Here is a 20,383-nt window from a genome sequence, read left to right on the forward strand (position 1 = left end):
TTGGTGACTTGATTCAGGACATTCCCCCTGGTCTTCCTTTCCATTGGCCTGCATGGCTGTCTCTGTCACCCATTGCCCCGGAGAAAGGAGCAAGTGACCTCAACCTGTCATCTCCATGGCGCTGTCTCTGCCAAGCCCTTCCCTTTCTGGCCCACGAGCCCTCTGTCTGGCCGCCAGCCTGGGCTTTCTCCAGCTGATTTGTAGGTATGGTGAATAATGGGTGAGCCTGTCCAACTTCCAACCTCGTTTGGCTGCCCACAGTTAGCCGGGTGCCTGGCTCTGCTGGGTCAGCTGGTGGGGGAAGCAGGAAGGAGGGGGTGAGGGCTGAGTAATGTTGTTGATTGATTGGAGCTGGAAACACTATTCAGGAGATAATCTAGGATAGAACCACATGATTCTTTAGCCCAGCAGTCCCCAGCCTTTTAGGCACCAGGGGCTGGTTTCATGGAAGACAATTTTTCCACAGACTGGGGATGGGGAGATGGTTTCAGGATGATTCAAGTGTGTTACATTTACTGTGCACTTTATTTTTATTATTATTCGTTGTAATATATAATGAAATAATTATACAACTCAACATAATGTAGAATTAGTGGGAGCCCTGAGCTTGTTTTCCTGCAATTAGATGGTTTTCTCTGAAAGTAATGGGAGGCAGTGACAGATCATCAGGCATTAGATTCTCATAAAGAGCACACAAACTGGATCCCTTGTGTGCGCAGTTTACAGTAGGTTTGTGCTCCTATAAGAATCTAGTGCCTCAGCTGATCTGACAAGAGGCAGAGCTCAGGCAGTAATGCAAATGATAGGGAGTGGGTATAAATGAAGACAAAGCTTTGCTTGCTCACCCACGGCTCACCTCCTGCTGTGAGGCCAGTTCCTAACAGGCCACGGACTGGTAGTGGTCTGTGGCCTGGGGATTTGGGATCCCTGATTTAGCCCACATATTCAAAGAAGGGATTCAATATTTGATGAGTGTCTACTGAGCTCTAGGCATGAGGCACAGTTAACAAGTTTGTTTCCAGGGAGGCAGTGTGATGTGTCAAATTAGTGACAATAATATTTTCAATAATGTATATGTAGCATTAACCATGTGCTAGACACATGTATGACATCATATATCACAACCACCCTATGAAGTAGGTACTATTATCACTATCCCCATTTTGTATATGAGTACATTGAGGCTCCAAGACAGTAAGGAAGGGTCCAGGGTCTCTTAAATGGTAAAATCCAGTCTGGATATCTGACGTCAAGGCTCAAGCTCTTTTTTTTTTTTTTTTTTTTTTTTGAGATGGAGTCTCGCTCTGTCACCCAGGCGGGAGTGCAGTGGCTCTATCTCAGCTAACTGCAAGCTCTGCTTCCTGGTTTCATGCCATTCTCCTGCCTCAGCTTCTCTAGTAGCTGGGACTACAGGCGCCCGCCACCACACCTGGCTAATTTTTTGTATTTTTAGCAGAGACGGGGTTTCAACATGTTAGCCAGGATGGTCTCGATCTCCTGACCTTGTGATCTGCCCGCCTCGGCTTCCCAAAGTGCTGGGATTACAGGCTTGAGCCACTGTGCCCAGCCAAAGCTCAAGCCCTTAACCAAAACACAAACTTTGGTTTCAAGAGACCTGCATTTTTACCTTGAGCAAATCACCTGACTTCTGAGTTGGATTGCCCATCTGAAAACTGAGAATGAACTAAGAATCCCTTGCAAGTTGTTGTAGGTCTCTGATAAGTTGAGATATGTACAATTCTTTGTAAGGTGGTCTGAGGGCCGGTGAGGGGGTGGTGGGGAAAAGCAACTTTTTCTCTGGCTATGCTCAATACTGTCACAGTCACTGAATACAGAACACTTTCTGTGACCAGGTGTGTGGGGGTTGTCTCCCTACACACCAAGCATCCCATTCTGCAGATTCCCTAGCAGACACTTCAGCTGCATGTCCTCTAATTCAATTCAATTCTGACACCAGCTACCTGGAGATAGTGTCAGATCCCACAGGTTAAGGGCTCAGTCCCACAAGACTTACCCTACTTTGGATGCCAATCACAAGCCCCAGGTTGTGGGTTTCTGACTGGTGGGCTATAAATCGGGGTCCCTACAAGCCCCTTTTCAGGTTCAATTAATAATGGTTCAATTTGCTAGAGTGGCTCCAGAACTCAAAAGAACACTTTGCTTACCTTTACCCATTTATTAATATGGATATTACAAAGGATGCAGATGAAGAGCCATGTGGAAGAGAGGGCCAGGGCTAGGCATATGGGAACGGGCAAGGAGCTCCCGTGCCCTCTCTGGGGGCACAACGTCCAGGAACCTCCACATATTCAGCCATCTGGAAGCTCCCTAAACACAGTCTTGTGTTTTTCCTTTTTTTTTTTTAATGAAAGCTTTATTATGTAGACATGATGGTTAAAACATTGGCCACTAGTGACCAACTTAACCTTCAACCCCTTCTCCCTAGAGGTTGGGGATAGGGCTGAAAGTCCCCACTCTCTAATCATGTCTTGTCATTTCCAGATGACCAGCTCCCATCCTGAAGCTTACTACAGGGCTCCAGCCACCAGATATCTCATTAGCATACAAAAGACACTCTTATCACTCTGAGGATTCCAAGGGTTTTAGGAGCTATATGTCAGGAAATGGGAATGAAGACCAAATACATAGTTCCCAGTATCACAGGTGGTATACATATTTTATTGAGCACCTACTATAAAAATCAATCAACAAACATTTATGGAGCAGCCACTTTGTCCAAGACATACTGCAAGGGCTATAAAAGATTTAAGAACTTCTGAGATGTTTGCTCCCTCAAGAAAGGAAACAAGGCAGAATAAGACTGTCCTCTAACCAACAGCACATACTGCAGGTGCTGGGAAGGATCAGGAGAGAGAGGAGTACAGTGGACCCAAGTGGCTAGTCCAGGAGCGTACATGGGAAGTGAGGAAGGCCCTAATCAATCAGTGGGATTTCGATGGACAAACAAGAGGAGGGAGAAAAATCTCTGGAGAGACAAAGCCACAGAGGCAGGAAGTTCAAAGTGACCTGAGGAAAGAGAAGGGGGTTCATGGGGAGGTTTGTGCAAGACCAGGGTGTGAAAGTGCTGGAAATCTGGCTAGGATGCAAGACTGTGTTCAAAAAGTAATGGGAGCCACGGAAGAGATCTGAGAAGGCTCTTTCTTCCTCCCGCCCAGGTTAGGACTCCATGTTTTCCTGAAAAGCAAGAAGAGGAGGACATACTCAGAAATGAAACCCAGAAAGAAAGCTTCTCTGTAGTAGTGCAGAGTCTATACAGATAGGACTAATAAATCCTTTTTTTTTTTTTAAACGCAGAGCTCTAGCACTATGACTTAAGTGAAGGGTCCTTCAGAAAATGGATGGGAAAACTGATTTAGGTATCATTGAGGGTAACTTCTAAAAGGGGCCTCAGGAACCACCTGGGGAGAATCTAGTGTTGTTTTCCAGGTTAGTGGTTGGGGTCTGAAGTGTTGACGTGATCTCCCTGAGACTGCAGGGGAGCTGGGCTTCATCATCTTCCCAACGCTTCTTCGGAGACTTTTAAACTTGGGCTGCAGAGGTCCCCAGGGCCTCACCTCTGCAGCACATTTAGGGTCTCTCTAGCCACCCTCCCCCTCTTGCTGTGCTCTCCATGGGTGTTTCTGGCTTGCAGGGTGTTAGCCTTGCTGGTGTGTCTGTGGCCAGTAAATGCAGGACCTAAGCCTGCGTTCATCAGAAGACTATTGAAGATATCAGGCTCAGGGGCCAGGGATTCCCATGTGTACAGCAGTTTGGGGCAGGGAAGTAGGACAGTGAAATCGTCCTCATAGGGTTAATGAGATTATAAGCCAGGCTTTATGGAGAATTCTAGTTAAACATTGACCAGGGTGGGTTGGTGTACTTTTGACCTGCTCCCCTGAAACTGCTAACTAATCAAGAATCAGGTAGCATGCTGACCACCTGCTCCCCCAACTTGTTCCTACAGATAAAATCTCTGACAGTGGATCTTTTACCCAAGAATTGCTTAAGATGTTCTTCAGATCCTCAATTTCAGCAGAATGGCTGACACCAACTGGCATGGGTGAGCCCAGAGAGAGGCTGGGAATTAAAAAAAAGTTTACTTAGAGAACAAGCAGTTGCCAGTGAAACGTTGGTGCACTGTAGACTTCAGACATAAAAACAGCAGCCATCACTGACTTCTGGCAAATTCAAGTAAAACAACAAACATCGAAACTTCCAGACATTCTGTTGGGGGAAGTTGCCAAAGACGTTGGCTGCCATAGTCAGCTTTACCATCTTCGATAAGAAAATACTCCTCTTCACCATATACAAGAATTTATTAAGTACCTGCTTTGCCTACACCATTTTGCACTTAGTATGTTTTCGTTACATATTTGATAGGAATGAGAGAAAGGGCACAGGTGGGCCCCTCAGAACAGAGCATTTAATTGAGTACATTCGGAGCATATTTTGAGTATGAACCTCCCTAACAACACACCTTTTAACAGTGATTCAGGGGAAAGATTCAGCTTTTGTGGGGTCTGAAGTTTGTACAGTTTCAAGAGCCCTTTTAAGAGGAAAAAAATACAAAATCACAAAAGAAAAGAATGCCTGTGACCACTTTGATAACATCTGGCAGAGGAGGAATGTGATAGAAGGGAAAACCAAGTGGAAAAATATGATGGTCTCAGCTGATTGTAGTGACTAGATCTTACTTTTGCAAAATGTACAAAATTCTGTGAAAGCTTATGTCCAAGTGGACCCATTACTACGCTCCATCACAGGAGCCTGTCCAACTGAAGGAGCCTGAAGTTTATGCGTCATTAGCTTCAGTGAGTCTTGCCTACAGCTATCATGGACTGGAACTAACCACTGGAGCAAAAGGGAAACTGCAGAAGTATCTCCAGGTAGCTAAACTGCAGAGTCCATGAGGGAGGACAACAGTGTGTGGTAGGGCACAGTCAGGACAGCGACACATGTGGAGCACTGATAGACGGGGCCCCCATGCCCACTGGCCAAGACCAAGACTGGGCAGGACACCTAATGAGGGTGGAATCACATACAGTGAATGGAGAAATAGCCTTGTAAAATATCGGGACTGTGCAGAGTGGCGTTAAATGGTGTTGATATATTATTTCATTTAATTTTCCCATTCCCAGAGGGACATTGTATGATAATCCTGAATTTCCAAATGAGAAGATTGGGGTAAAGAGAGATTGGTTTGCTTAAGCAGGAATGCTTATAGTCAGGGCTTTTTTATTTCCAGGCTTCCATTGCCTCTCACACTTCGTAGCCTGTCAAAGTCAAGTTAGTGCATTAACCTCAGTGACATAGAACTGAGAAACAAGGTCACCTATCTGAATCTTACCTACTTGTGTGTGGTTTGTCCTCCATTCATTGTAATGCTATGGTAAAGTACTCCTTGAAATATTTGCAATCAGAGACAGATCGGATGTGTTATGACTAGGTTCCAACTATTATAGATCATCACCATTTTCCAAGTATAAAATCAGAAGGTTACACATATTAAGAAATGCTGAAGGAACAAAGTATGTTTGGCTTCCTGCACGATAAACATTTGTGAATTTTTACAACAAACAAAAAGCCTAATTTTTCTTCCAGTAAAGAAAAAGAAATTTTTTTTTTTTTTTTTTTTTTTTTTTTTTAGACAGAGTTGCCCAGGCTGGAGTGTAATGGTATGATCTCGGTTCACTACAACCTCTGCCTCCAAGGTTTGAGGAATTCTCCTGCCTCAGCCTCCTGAGTAGCTGGGCTTACAGGTGTACACCACCATGCCTGGCTAGTTTTTTTGTATTTTCAGTAGAGATGGGGTTTCACCATGTTGGCCAGGCTGGTCTCGAATTCCTGGCCTCAAGTGATCCACCTGCCTCAGCCTCCCAAAGTGCTGGAATTATGGGCATAAGCCACTGCACCCTGCCCCAATAAAGAAAATTTTTTCCTTTTGAATTAAAACTACTTTAATCAAGGTTGATGGATACAAAATCAACATATAAAATCAATGTATTTTATGCCAGCAATATACAGTCACAAAATATAATTATTAGAAACTTCTCATTTCTAATTATAATGGAAATTTACATATAAGAATATAACAAAAAACATGTACAACCTTTATGGAAAAAATTATACTTCATTAAAAGATATTAATGATGACCTAAGTAAATGGAGAGAGATAACCCATGATAATGGATAGAAGAGTCAATACCAGAAAAAAGAGTGAATTTTCCCTAACTTAATCTAAAAATTCAACCCCTTCCAGTTGAAAGCATAATAGGCAGTTTCAGTAGAATCAGTGGGGGTGTGGGCTCCTAGGTTTCTGGTCAGCAGCGGAAATGTGGTTTCAGCTCGAGCAGTGGAAGCAGAAAGTGCAGGCTTGTGGGCTCCCAACCCAGCCATGGTAGCGGCTTTCTGATCCCTAGGTAACTTCTGCATTTTGTTCCACCAGTCTTTCCTACACTTTTATAACTAACTGTGCATGAAATTCCTCTCTGTTTGAATTATCTCCAGTGGTTTCTGTTTTCCTGACTAGACATTGACTGATACAGTCATACATATGTAGATGTCATGATCTGAAAATTCGTATGTTGAAGCCCTACCCACCATCAATGTGATGATATTGGAAGATGGGTCTTTTGGAGGTAATTAGAGTTAGATGAGGTCCTAAGGGTGGGGCCCTTGTATGGGATTAGTGCCCTTATGATGAGAGACACACCAGAGAGCTTGCTGTCTCTCCACATCTGTGCATACAAAGAAATGGTCCTGTGAGCACACAGTGAGATGGCAGCCACCTACAAGTCAAGAGAGAAAGCCCTGGAATAAAACCTACCTTGCTGTCACATTAATGTTGGACTTCCTAGCCTCAAGAGCTGTAAGAAATACATTTCTGTTGTTTAAGCTGACCAGATTGTGGTATTTTTTGAATAGCAGCTCAAGCTGACAAAGACAGTGGGCAATAAAAATGTAAAGAAATGCCTCAAGATTCATATGTTGAAATCTCAATCCTCAGAATGCAACCATATATGGAGATGAGATCTTCAAATGGTGATTAAGTTAAAATGAGGTCATTGGAGTGAAGCCCTAGTCCAATATGACTGATGGCCTTAAAAGAAGAAGGAAAGATACCAGCCAGGGGTGTGTATACACAAATAGATGACCATGTTAAAAGACAGCAGGAGGGCAACCAGCTGTTAGCCTGAGAAGTGTCAGAGGAAACCAACCATGCTGGCACCATGATCTGGAGCTTCCAGCCTTCAGAACTGTGAAGAAATAATTTCTCTTGTTTAAGCCACTCAGTCTGTGGTATTTTGCTATGATCACCTTAGCAAACTAACAGAATATAAAAGTAAAGTCAAGAAAGTGTTGCCAGGCGTGGTGTCTCCCACCTGTGTAATCCCAGCACTTCAAGAGGCCAAGACTGGTGGATTGCATGATCTCAGGAGTTTGAGACTAGCCTGAGCAACATGGTGAAATCCTGTCAAAAAATACAAATCCTACAAAAAATACAAAAATTAGCTGGACATGATGGCAGGTGCCTGCAGTCCTAGCTATTCGGGAGGTTGAGGTGGGAGGATCGCTTGAGCCCAGGAGGCGGAAGTTGCAGTGAGCCCACTGCATTCCAGCCTGGGGGATAGAGCTAGACCTTGTCTCAAAAAAGGAAAGAAAGAAAGTATCAAATGTTAACTAAGAGGAAAAATTTTAATGGCAGTAGAAAAATGGGCTGAGGGAAAAGAAAAAAGAGACAAAATAAGAAATAAGATAAAGGCTCAATAAATGTCTTCCTCCTTTTTCTCCATAAAATCCTATATATGTTATTTTCTTTTATAAAGGAAGAAAAGTTTTTGGCTTTATTTTTCCTTTGTTAATGGAAAGACCAAGTGAAGAACTAAGCAATTACCCAAGGAACTAAACTCATATAAAAAATCAATAATTCAGGTTAAATCCCTCCTTTTTTTCCCCCTTGGAAATGCTTTTCAAACTCACAACATCTATATAACTGCCTTCTTTTACTTTCCTCTGCAGATAATGCTAATGTTTCACCAATTCAAATGCAGGATATAAGACATACCTAACAGCAAAATCTCAAGAGCAACAACAATAAAAAATGAAATTATGATGAAACCACAGTAAGGAAAAACCCAAAACCTATGGGAAACTGACTGTAAATCTGAAATGCATTCTTCCACAGATAAGATGATTACATAATTTGCAGTTGAAGTGTCCAGGATATTAATGTTTTTGAAAGACTATGGTTTTAAGTAGAGTTGGGAAAAAAAGTATAGTAAAACAAAAGAGTAAAATCTTCATGTAAATTATTTTTTTAAAGGCAAGAATACTTACAAACATTTTTACAATGGCAACAAATCCAGATGGTACTTAAAGTCAGTTTCCTGGATGATCTGCCAACTGAAAAAGTTTGCAGTGGGTTAAAAAGTCATAGCCTCTGTGGGCTGTAAAGGAGACTTACAGGGAGAATTTGGTAAATTTGGGAAAAATAAGAATACCAGACTAGAAAGCTCACTCTTGGAGCCTGGCAGGTGTGTGTCCCTTATCTGAACCAAACACAAGCACAACTGTCTGCACATTCAAGCCTTCTTGGCTCAAGGTTCTGGGAAGCACGGCATCATTTTTGTAGCTCTGATTTTTTATGGTTTAATTGTGAAGGCAAGCATTTTTTGAGAGGGCATTTCTGAATAAGACTTGTTTTTAGAGCTATGATTCTCATAAGAGGGGAAAAAATATCAGAAATAGAATCTGCAAGGAGCTTTGTCAAAAGAAATGCATTCTCACATGCCCCTTCTTTTGGGAAGCCGTGGAGGGGTGGCACTGGCGGGATAGAAATAGGTGAACTCCGGGAGGCTGAGGCAGGAGAATGGTGTGAACCCGGGAGGCGGAGCTTGCAGTGAGCCGAGATCCCGCCACTGCACTCCAGCCTGAGCGACAGAGCGAGACTCCATCTCAAAAAAAAAAAAAAAAGAAAAAAGAAAAAAAAGAAATAGGTGAACTCCCTCTGGCATGCATGGTAGGGGGGTGGTGGGGAAAGGTTGAGAATCAACTACATAGAAAAACAAATGTTGAAAAATATTTTGCAGCAATAAGAAAGCAGTTTTTAAAACTGAGAATTTTCATCTTAGTTTTTATTTCTTTTATAACATATTTGCTTTAAAATTTTCTTACAAAATTTATTAAAAAGACATACAAACAACATATGGGAGATGAGAATAAGATTCCTCTAATACAAAGGCATTAGGGTAAATAATATTTCAGGTGCTAGACAGCAGGCATGGCACATTTATTCACCAAGACCAGAATCCCTGGGGGTAATCGCTTCCGTTTTTTCCAGCCCACTATTATTAGTTGTGAGAAGTAATTTGCTTGACTTGCTTTCATTCTCTGACTCCAGTTTTGCAGCCTCCTCCCAAGTAGTTGCTAGCCGTTTCCCAAGGGTTTCTGGAAGCTTTAGTGTTAACACTCCACTCAGGAGGGCCATAGTCCCAACAAACAACTAGAAGGAATTAAAAATAATGATAAGTGACACATCAAGAAAGGAACGAACCCTTCGGAGAATAGAATTTCCTAACTGTTTTCAGAGGGTAATGGATTTGAATTTGACATAACAGTTGTCACTGTGATTACTCGGTGAGATCTTTGGTTACTTGTGCTGGACTTCGAGTTCTTTTCCTCATCAACGAGGTTTAATCTCATCACTCACTCATTCATTCCTTCATGACCCACCATGGAGTGCCTCCTTAATTGCCAGCTACTGCCTGCATTATTACTCCTGAAGGTGCTGTCCTAGGAGCTGTGGTCAGAAAGAAAAAAGACACTTACCCCATCTTTCCAGACCCCAGAATCTTGTGGAGAAGACAAGTAACTGAGCCCTGGGTCAGGACATGCCAAGCAGGGACTGTCTTAGTCAACCCTGTCCCTGCCCCAATAATCAGTACACTATCAGGGTTCAGTAAATGATAGGGAATGAATGAATGAAAACAGGTTTCAATCAACCAGAATCTACGGAATTTGGGGGAAGCTAAACAAAGGCAGTGAAAACAAATTGCTACTTTATGGGGCAGGGATCCATATAATTTCCTATACAGTTCGGTGTGATTTCTTTATTTTCCAGATTTTGACACATAAAAGGCAGCCTTTTAGACTAGCGCCAAGGCGTTTGCTTTTAAAAATGCAGGTCACATTAAAAATTAAAGTCTGCATATCTATTCTCTGTTTATCATCATGAAGATGCTGGGTGGTTTTTATTAACAGAGCTAAATCTCTATACAATCCGTAAAAACACAATCTGTCCTTACTTAATTCAAACTCCTTTAGCAAAATATATTTGCTGGAAAGACCCTATAAAAATAAATTAAGGTGTGGCTTTTCTGATAAATCTACACACTTGGTATGTTTATAGCCTCTGAAAATGAGAATCATAAAATACATAGAGCAAGTGTGAAGTGATGCCAGATCACATCCATAACAGACGAGACCTGGGAAGGCAGTTTTTCATTTTGTTTTGCAGAGCACTGATAACCTAATTCTTAGAAATATACGAAATATATGAGTAAGCTTAACCCAGACGCAGTAGCAGAATTTCAAGTGACATTCCAAAGGAATTTTAAAGACGTTTTCTGGTCTCTCAAGACACGGCAAGTATATCCAGTGATCTAGAAACCCCAGAAGAGCCCTAAGTCAGGATCTGAAAAACACTGAGGAAGTCTAAAAGCAAAATAGAATCAAATGGAAGATCCAGAACAGAATGGAATTTTTCTTCTTAGCTTGGTAGTAAGCCTAGTCAGGCAGGAAACAAATCATACCTCTCCACCTCCTCCTCACTCCTGCTTCCCTGACCAGCTCCCCACAATCCCCCAAACCCCAAACCAAACTTTGAAATAAGTCCCCCCTTTCCCACCCCTCCCTCCTCCTGGAGGGAGGCCAGGCGGATCCTTTCACACTCTCCAGACCCCACTGCCTCTCACCTCCTCCTCAGAGATCTCCCTCCATCCATCGTCCAACCTCCTTCTCACATATTTTTGATCTTTTCCTTTCTGCTGGCTATTTTCCCTTGGCAAAAAGAAAAGCTCTCAAAGGGCTGGGCATGGTGGCTCAAGCCTATAACCCCAGCATTTCAGGAGGCTTGAGGTGGGTGGATCACCCGAGGTCAGGAGTTCGAGACCAGCCTGGCCAACATGGTGAAACTCTGTCTCTACTAAAATTACAAAATTAGCCGGGCGAGGTGGCACATGCCTGTAATCCCAGCTACTTGGGAGGCTGAGGTATGAGAACTGCTTGAACCCAGTAGGCAGAGGTTGCAGTGAGCCAAGATTGTGCCACTGAACTCCAGCCTGGGCAACAAGAGTGAAACTCCGTCTTAAAAAAAAAACTTCTCAAAGACTGGGTGCAGTGGCTTACATTTGTAATCCCAAGACTTTGGGAGGCTAAGGCTGGCGGATCACGTGAGGTCAGGAGTTTGAGACCAGCCTGGGCAATATGGTGAAATTCTCTATGAAAAATATAAAAATTAGCCAGGTGTGGGGGCACATGCCTGTGGTCCCAGCTACTTGGGAGGCTGAGGTGGGAGAATCTCTTGAGCCCAGGAGGCAGAGGTTGCATTGAGCCAAGATTGCACCACTGCACTCCAACCTCAGTGACAGAGTGAGACCCAATCTCAAAAAAAAAAAAAAAAAGAAAAAAAAGAAAGAAAGAAAGAAAAAGAAATGTTCTTGACCCTTTTATAATCTCCATACCCACATTGCCTGGGTACTTGCCACCTGCTACCTGTGTGGCTTTGGGCAAGTTACTTAACCTCTCTGCTCCTCAGAGTCCTTTTCTGTAAAATGGATGAAAGAATAGTATCTGTCGCAAACGACTGTTGAGAGGATGAAATTAAATATTACGCAAAAGGCACTTAGAACAGCGCCTGGCTGCAGTAAGTAGCCAATACATGTAAGCTCTCATTACTGCATGCATATATATATATATTCTTAGCTTGGTAGTAAGACTAGTCAGGCAGTCGGGTTCAAGCGATTCTCCTGCCTCAGCCTCCCGAGTAGCTGGGACTACAGGCACGCACCACCACGCTCGGCTAATATTTGTATTTTTAGTAGAGACGGGGTGTCGCCATATTGGCCAGGCTGGTCCCAAACCCCTGGCCCCCCAAAGTGTGGGATTACTTGTGTGAGCCACCGCGCCTGCCCTACTGCTATTATATATTGAAAAACAAGATGTTTCTTAATATTCCATCATTACTGCTGTTGTATCTTTTAAATCACCATACCTGGCATTTCCCCACTCCAGCCCTTCTCTTCGGGACTGGTGGTGATTTGCTCTCCTGCCCTTCCCACCAGACTGTACATCTCTCAAGACAGGCTATTTCTTTCATCTGCTCCTTAGCACCTAGCAGGGTGGCTAGTTCAAAACCAACACTCAGTCAACGATTGCCAAATGAGTTAATGAGCACATAAAAAGCTAATTACGTGTCCACCTTTTTTAGATTACTAGAAAATAATGGTTAATAACAAAAGCATCAGAACGAGTGATTTTTCATGTGCCTCTTTTCAAAAGAGAAAATATAAACATCTTCCAGATCAGAGTTTTCATTTCTCAAAATGAAAACACTGGCTCCCCAGGCAGTTTGACATCCATAAACAAGTTTAATGGGAAATCTGATTTTTTTTTTGACTCATTACAAACAATAGGTAATACTCCTTAGATCCAAAGGAAGCACATTCACAGACTACTTCCATAAATATACACCACACCCTGTGGCCAGAGCTGTCTTAGAGAAGGGATGGGCCACTCAGGGACAGGCTGGACAAGGAGCTGACTGCTCTGTGCTCACTTTTGTATAGATTGTTTGTTGGACCTTGTGTAAAAGGCAAAGGAGCATGGTATTTGGGTTCAAATCCCAGCTCTGTCACCTTTAAGGCGCGTGACCCTGGGCTAATAACTACTTTCTGTCCATCAGTCTCCTCATCTGTAAAATGAAGAGAACAACAGTATCTGCATTATATGAAGACTAATTTTTGTAAAGCATGTTCAAAAAGAGCTTGTTTAGGCAGGGCATGGTGGTTTATGCCTGTAATCCCAGCACTTTGGGAGGCCGAGATGGGCAGATCACCTGAGGTCAGGAGTTCGAGACCAGCTTGGCCAACATAGTGAAACCCCGTCTCTACTAAAAAATATTTTAAAAATTAGCCAGCCTTGGTGGCGCACGCCTGTAGTCCCAGCTTCTTGGGAGGCTGAGGCGGGAGAATCTTTTGAACCTGGGAGGTGGAGGTTGCAGTGAGCTGGGATCAGACCACTGCACTCCCGCCTGGTCGACAGAGCAAGACTCTGTCTCAGAAGAATAATAAAAATAAAAGGAGCTTGTTTAAATATCTGTTAAATAAAATTAGAGATCCCTTCTGAGTCCGTAGTCCTTAATTGAGCCTTACAGAAATCCATTAAAAATATATTTATTTGGTTTTATTTCTGGTAATTACCTTTTATAAATTTATCTATTTTATATTTGCATGTTTCAACTTATTATTTTAATAAACACTTTCTCATTTTATCTTTTTTGAAAAAAAATAATAAGGAAAACAAGTGCTAGCACAAAGGAGATTCTTCTAGAAAAGTTCATGACCTAAAAAGGGTGGTAGACTCCCCCAAAACACCTCCCACACAGCCCACATGGTTTCTTAACCTCAGAGTCAGTCTGAGAAAGTGGCTGGGATCTAACACCCCAATGGCACATCCAAGCGCTTTACTGAGCGCCTGCTCCGGGGACATGGGAGACACTCATGCCAAGCCAGCGATTCCCGAAGAGCCGTATGTGTACCTGCTGTGTGTACAAGGCAACTCCAGGGGATACCAAGCACTGTTTTATTACTTGTGAGATTACGTTAGTGTCTTTTAGAAAAACACATAATTAGTATAACACCCATGACTTCACTGATATTATTGTTTAGGACAAAGCTAATTTCCAAAAGTCAATCTATTTGATTTAAAATAGCAGGTGAATGACAGCATGGGTGGCACACAAGCTGAGGGAAACACTTGGCTAGGCCCAGCTGTGGGGATGCAAATGTCCTGCTCTGCAAAGCACAACAGCCTGACTGGGGCGATGAAGACACACGCACAAATAATAAAGCCACACTGCGACAGCAACTGAAAGAGGCACCCACTAAATGCTGTACAGACATGCTTGAGAAAAGGAGAGGCGGGGTCACTAGATCTGGCTGGCCTCCTGGAAAGCGGATACCTGGAAGGCTACTTAACAGGTACATGAGAGAGGAGCGCTGTCTTTGGAGGGGCCGTTTGGGCAGTGGCATGGAAGGGGAGGAGGTGGGATGAGGACAGGGAGGAGAAGGGAAGGCTTGCAGTGGGGCTGAGTCTGGAGAGGAGGGGAAGCTGCATGAGGAATAGAACAGGGGAGCTGTGCAGGGGGTCAATCGGGAAAAGCCCTGGATATCAGCTGAGTTTGGACTTTTATTCTGAAGCTGACAGGGGCACTGGGTCATGGCCATGGTGCCTTCTGTGCTACCCAGACAGGGTGGGGGATGAAGCGCAAGGAGAAGACTGGGAGGCACTGGGACCAGGCATGCAGGGGTAGTTTTGAAGGAGAATGTGAGGATTTGGTGATGAAAGAACAGGATGAATAAGAAGCCGATGCCACAGTGTCATGCTTGAGGCCACTGACCTATCCTTAACCAAAAGTGGAAGACAGGTGTCACTGGCCAGTTCTACTTGGGAGACATTGAGTTTGTGGTGAAACATCCAGGGAGAATGTACATGAGGCTGGAGGAAATCCTCGCCTGAAGCCAGGATGAGAGGTGATGCATGCAGGGGGCGGGGAGGAGGCTGGGAGGGAATCCGGCAGCCTGAGTCTAAGGGGCAATCAGAAAAGAGAAAGGAGGCACTGGAGGGGAGGGAGAGGGAGGAGCTGCAGGCTGGCAAGTCACACCTGCCCTCCACCCATCCCGCATCTTCTTCCTGAGCAGAAGAGTCCACTAAAGCCAGGTGCAGCAGTGCTCACGTGCCTTCCCAGCCTCTCAGCCCCTACCTGAGGATCTGCAAACTAAGCGTCCCTGCTCTCACTCTTTGAAAGCCAGGCAAATGGCTCACACTGCTGGAGCCCCTCAGGTTCAGGTCAACTGAGAACCATGGGTTCCTAATGCTCTCCATTAGGCATCACATAATCTTTTTGGAGCAGGCAGCCCCCAGAATTCGCCTTGCCCAGCAGGCACTCAGTGGGAACACAGAGGCAAGGCCAGGCCAGCGGGTGGGGGCAGATGCCCTGAGGAGGACAGAGACCAGAGCTCTCCCTTCCCCAGGCCTGGCTTCCAGGCAAGGGTGAGGACATGCCCTTTTGTGGCAGGCAGAGTTGTAATGAACAGCTCAGCAGTGGTGGAAGGCCACCAATGGCCAATCGCACAGCAGCCACCACCCTACTCACCAACTGGCCAGCTGTTGGTAATGGGGTTGTTTCTACAAACCCCATTAGGAAATGATGTACTGGCTTTCAGTAAATAACAATAGAGAAGTTGCTAATAGGCAATTAGAAACTGCCTCCGTGCCCCCTTGGGGAGGGTCTGCAAACTGAAGCACACCTGTGGTATGAAGATCCAAATGCTGCTGAGGTCCACAGAGAACGGCGCCAGGATGCTGGCCAGGCGACACACCATGCTGCCGCTTCCCACAGCCAGCGATCTGGAAACAGAGGAGAGAGGCTGAGACAAGTAAGGCACAAGTGACCCAGGGATTGAGGGACCTGCTTCCTGCAGCTCCTTTCCCACGCTCCCCAGCAAGGATAAGGGTGGTCAGGCAGCGCATTACAACGTTTCAGTCAACCTCGGTGGCCCCGCGAGATTATAATAGCACATTTTTACTCGACTTTTTCTATCTTTCAATATGTTTAGATACACAAATATTTACCATTGTGTTACGACTGCCTGCAGTATTCAGTGCAGTAACATGCTGTGGAGGGTCACAGCCGAGGAGGAATAAGCTGTGCCACATAGCCTGGGTGTGTAGTATGCTGGGCCATCTAGGTTTGTGTAAGTTCACTCTATGATGTTCTGACAACCACGAAATCACCAAAGGATGCATTTCTCAAAACGGTGCCCATCATTAAGCAACACATGACCGTAAAAAAACGTAAGCTTGAAAATAATTTTACTTAAATTTTTCAAGAATCACAATACCTACATTTTGTGAAACAGTGGTGTATATAAGCATGCACATAATTCAAGACAATTCATGACAAAAAAGAGGTAGGAGTGTGGAGGTAAGCCATTCTTCATCTGCTGTGCAGGTGAGGCCCTTGTGTGTACTGATCCAGCCTAACATTAAGAATAATAAGGTCTTCTAGAGCAGGAATTTGTTTCAGGTAGGGAGTGGGAATTTGAGAGAACAAAGTATCTGTATACCTGTGTACTGTTCTATTTCAACTTTTTAGAGTCAAGGAATATCTTAATGTGCTTTTCTTTAAAGGTTACTTAGAGAAAATGTATAGAATGTTAGTAAGGAAAGACTGTCCTTTTATGTGAGTAAGTACCTCTATAAATTAACGGTGCCTCATCTTTTCCAGTCACACACATTTATAAAGAACTGATAAAAAGTATGGCATTCTTCTGAGAAAGAAATCATACATAAGTAAAATTTTGCATGCAGTGTTAGGGTGTTTAGGGAGCTCATAGAGTTGGTTAAAGATTTCCTGTATTAAATATTTACATATTGGATTTTTTTGAGGTCATGTACCTGTGGTTGTAAACCAACAACCAAGCCAACAAAGAAAAGATCTTAAAAAATACTATAATATTCATAATTGCAATGCACATTGACATTATTTGATGGGATTGTCACCTTCTTAGCATATAACATGCATTCACTCAGCACATGTGTGTCAAGAGTCTAATATGTGCCAGGCACTGCATGGATCTGGTCCAATCTGAATTCTGAACTGGGAAAATCTGAAGCTTTTCCTGGCTGAGCAGAAATCCACCTGAGAGGCCAGAAGGGTCCCACAGGACATGACAAAGATATTCTCCCTGATTTAGAGCAGCTTCTTCCCTGGGTCAGCCACAACGGAGCCAAAGCCACAACGCAAGTTGGCAATTATGCAACTTCACTCTCTATTGCATTCAACTAGTCTCCACCATTGTCAGCCTGTAAGTGCTAGAATGTAATCTGTTATTCTGCCTGTCTGCTACTGTACATCTGTGCAGGGCTGCCACTTTCACAATATGATCTGAGAAGAGTCCACAAAGCCCTTACCCCAAAATACCTTCTTCCCCTCTGCTACTAAAGCTCTACTGCTAGCAACTTATCCCCCGCTAATGTTAAGCACTGTCTCCCATAAAAATTCTCATGTATTTCACTGGGTGACAGATAGGGCCAAAAGATGTGGATTTGAGTTCTGATGGGTCACTGACTAGCCAGATGCCTTTGGCCACGACCCTAATCTTGTGTGAATTCCAGTTCCACAACCTGTAAAATGGACAGAAGATGTATTTATTATTAGACTGCGAGAGTGGTCTAATAATAGCACTCTGGGTGACCTAGAGGGGAAGTATGGAGGAAGAAGAAAAACTCTACTCTCAGACAACTGGGCTAATAGACAATTACATAGGGAGTTATTCCTCTGCTATTCTATACCCCTGGTCACATATTAGTCTGATAAACTTTTTTCTTAGATATATATGTGTACCTACTCTATCTATCCATTCTTCCATCCCTCCATCCATCCATCCATCCATCTAGATATCCATTAATCTATCTACAGTCAACACAAATGTACTTACCCATCCTGGTCCACAGGGCTGCCTGCCCTAGCATTTCAGCAGGCAGGTGTGTGGGCATGGAAAATTCCTAGGGAAGGATTTATGCTATCTCTTGACTAATGGATTTTCTAGGTCCTACATCCCTCCTGCTTGTGGAGACAAGGAGGAGGCATCTCTGGGCTGGTGTTATATGGACTTATCTCTATAGAAAGTCACTTGCCTTTCACACTTGTAACACATGACAAATAACATACTCCTAAATGGGATGAACCCACTAGCTAAGCAGTTAGATTTTTTAATAAGTTTCCTGTGAAAAACCTTAATATCTTGTTTGTTTATTTGTTGCCATTAAGATTGGGTCTTTAATAGGCTAAGAAATTATCCAAGCTAACAAATTTTTTCCCTTAGAAAATGAAAACTTCCATTGATAAAGCAGGTGTTAGGAAAATGCCACTTGGAGGATTTAAGGGAGGACTGCAGATAGGAAACTATTACGGAATTTCACAGAGGGAGATCTGTGGGACAAGTGTCTCTTGGCAGCAGTGTGACCCTAATCACTATTTACACTTTAAAATACAGGATCATTTTGCAAAAAAAAGAGTCAAAAAGTCTGACGGGCCGGACGCAGTGGCTCACACCTGTAATCCTAGCGCTTTGGGAGGCCAAGGAGGGTGGATCACTTGAGGTCAGGAGTTTGAGACCAGCCTGGCCAACATGGTGAAACCCTGTCTCTACTAAAATACAAAAATTAGCCGGGCATGGTGGTGCACACCTGCAATCCCAGCTACTCAGGAGGCTGAGGCAGGAGAATCACCTGAACCTGGGAGGTAAGGTTGCAGTGAGCCAAGATCACACCATTTCACTCCAGCCTGGGCAACAGAGTGAGACTCTGTCTCAAAAAAAATAAAATAAAATCCAATGGAGAATCAGAGAAAAGATCCCTTCCCTTTATAGCTGGGGTCCCAGCTGTGTGTCTTGCACCAGGTACTTGATCTCCCTGGTCTCAGCTGTCTTATCTGGACATGAGGGCTGCAACAAGAAGTGTGGTTTACAAAGGATGTACTGTTAAGGCCTGGAAGTTCTGCTGCAGCCCCCTGGAGCAAGAAGGCAGGAGCACTGGGGGGATTCCAGGTACTCAACAGAGCTTCCACAAAGGACCTCCGTCCTCTTCACCACATAAAGAGTTTCCAAGTAAAATGTGTTTGGAAAAGCTTTGTAAAAGCTTGGAAGTCCCTGAGGTTCCCAGATCAGTGGGAATCACATCAGACATTCCCAAAGGGTGTCGGGGGGGCGGGTGGGGCGGGCAGGGTGGCAACTCAGAGTCACCTGCAGACTTGTTAAAAATCCCGAGTCTCGGCTAGGCGTGGTGGCTCATGCCTGTAATCCCAACACTTTGGGAGGCCAAGGCTGGCGGATCACGAGGTCAGGAGTTCGAGACCAGCCTGACCAACATGGTGAAACCCCGTCTCTACTAAAAATACAAAAATTAGCCGGGTGTAGTGGCATGCACGTGTAATCCCAGCTACTCTGGAGGCTGAGGCAAGAGAATTGCTTGAACCCAGGAGGCGGAGCTTGCAGTGAACCAAGATCACACCACTGCACTCCAGCCTGGGCAACAGAATGAGACTCCATCTCGAAAAAAGAAAAAAAAATCCCCAGTGTCATTCTTGGATTGATCCAGCAGGTCTGGTGTAAGGACCCAAGACTGATATTTTTTATGAAATACCTCAATGACTCTGACGAGCTGCCAGCTTTGAGAACCTCCAGATAAGGTAATCTCAGGGAGCCAATGATTACTGATGTTATGGGCTAAGTTGTCCCTCCCAAAGTTCAAGTGTTGAAGTCTGAATCCCTAGTACTTTATGATGTAATGGTATTTGTAGATAAGGTCTTTAAAGAGGTGATTAAGTTAAAATGAGGCTGTTAGGGTGAGGCCGTAATCCAATATGGCTGGTGTCTTATATGAAGAGGGAGGGACATCAGCGGTGCACACAGAGGTAAGACCCCTTGAGGACATAGCAAGAGGGCACCACCTGAAGACCACAGAGCGAGGCCTCAGGAGAATCCAAACCTGCCGACACCTTGTTCTTGGACTTCCAGCCTCCAGTACTGTGAGAAAATAAATTTCTATTGTTTAAGCCACCCAGCCTGTGGTATTTTGTTACAGCAGCCCACTCAGACTAACACAATTGGCATCAGAACATCGAGAGACACATCCTGAGAAATTACCTTTGAGTCAATACAGAGACTCAGTGGAAGTCTATGGTACTTGAAACTTAAAATGTTTTTGGAATAATAGAGTGTTATTTCAAAATAATTCGTCTAATATCCTCACTAATAGGGTACAAAGCCTCAGACTCAAAATGAGTATCAGCATGTCATTTTCCCATCTCAGAGATCCAGGTAACTTCTATAAAAAAGAAGCATTTACATGTAAAGGCCAAATACAATGAAATGACACACAAGTGAAAGATAATAGGAAAACAACCAGAAAACAATTCATCCTTACCTTACAATGGTTGGATACAGCTCAGCTGTATAAAGATAAATGAGGCCAAATGCTGCCCCGATGGCAAATTTTCCAACCATAGCTGTCACCACACCCAAAATATAATGTTTCTGAA

The 20,383-nt window shown here is 43.9% G+C and overlaps 1 protein-coding gene and 1 long non-coding RNA gene across 12 annotated transcripts in view; one reads left to right on the forward strand and one right to left on the reverse strand.

The window, feature by feature from the left end:
* The first annotated feature begins 60 nt into the window (after nucleotides 1–60).
* LOC105377936 (uncharacterized) lies at nucleotides 61–4,547 on the forward strand. Its single transcript, XR_942856.2, has 2 exons — nucleotides 61–204; nucleotides 3,965–4,547. It is a non-coding gene; the product is annotated as an uncharacterized LOC105377936 (long non-coding RNA).
* A 4,556-nt stretch (nucleotides 4,548–9,103) lies between these two features.
* Nucleotides 9,104–20,383, reverse strand: part of SLC22A16 (solute carrier family 22 member 16) — a 51,927-nt gene continuing 40,647 nt past the window's right edge. For 8 of the 11 annotated variants that reach the window (XM_011536211.3, XM_011536208.4, XM_011536206.3 and 5 more), the window contains 3 exons: nucleotides 20,269–20,378; nucleotides 15,588–15,687; nucleotides 9,104–9,502 (listed from right to left, as the gene is read on the reverse strand). In XM_011536211.3, coding sequence (XP_011534513.1) covers nucleotides 9,290–9,502; nucleotides 15,588–15,687; nucleotides 20,269–20,378 — 423 coding nt within the window. In that variant the 3' untranslated portion in view covers nucleotides 9,104–9,289. Of the gene's footprint in view, nucleotides 9,800–15,587; nucleotides 15,688–20,268; nucleotides 20,379–20,383 lie in introns of those variants that run through there. The other 3 variants (XM_047419435.1, XM_011536205.3, XM_011536210.1) reach the window with 2 other exon arrangements.

The sequence above is a fragment of the Homo sapiens genome, chromosome 6, assembly GCF_000001405.40.
Source record: "Homo sapiens chromosome 6, GRCh38.p14 Primary Assembly".
In the NCBI taxonomy this organism is placed as follows: domain Eukaryota; kingdom Metazoa; phylum Chordata; class Mammalia; order Primates; family Hominidae; genus Homo; species Homo sapiens.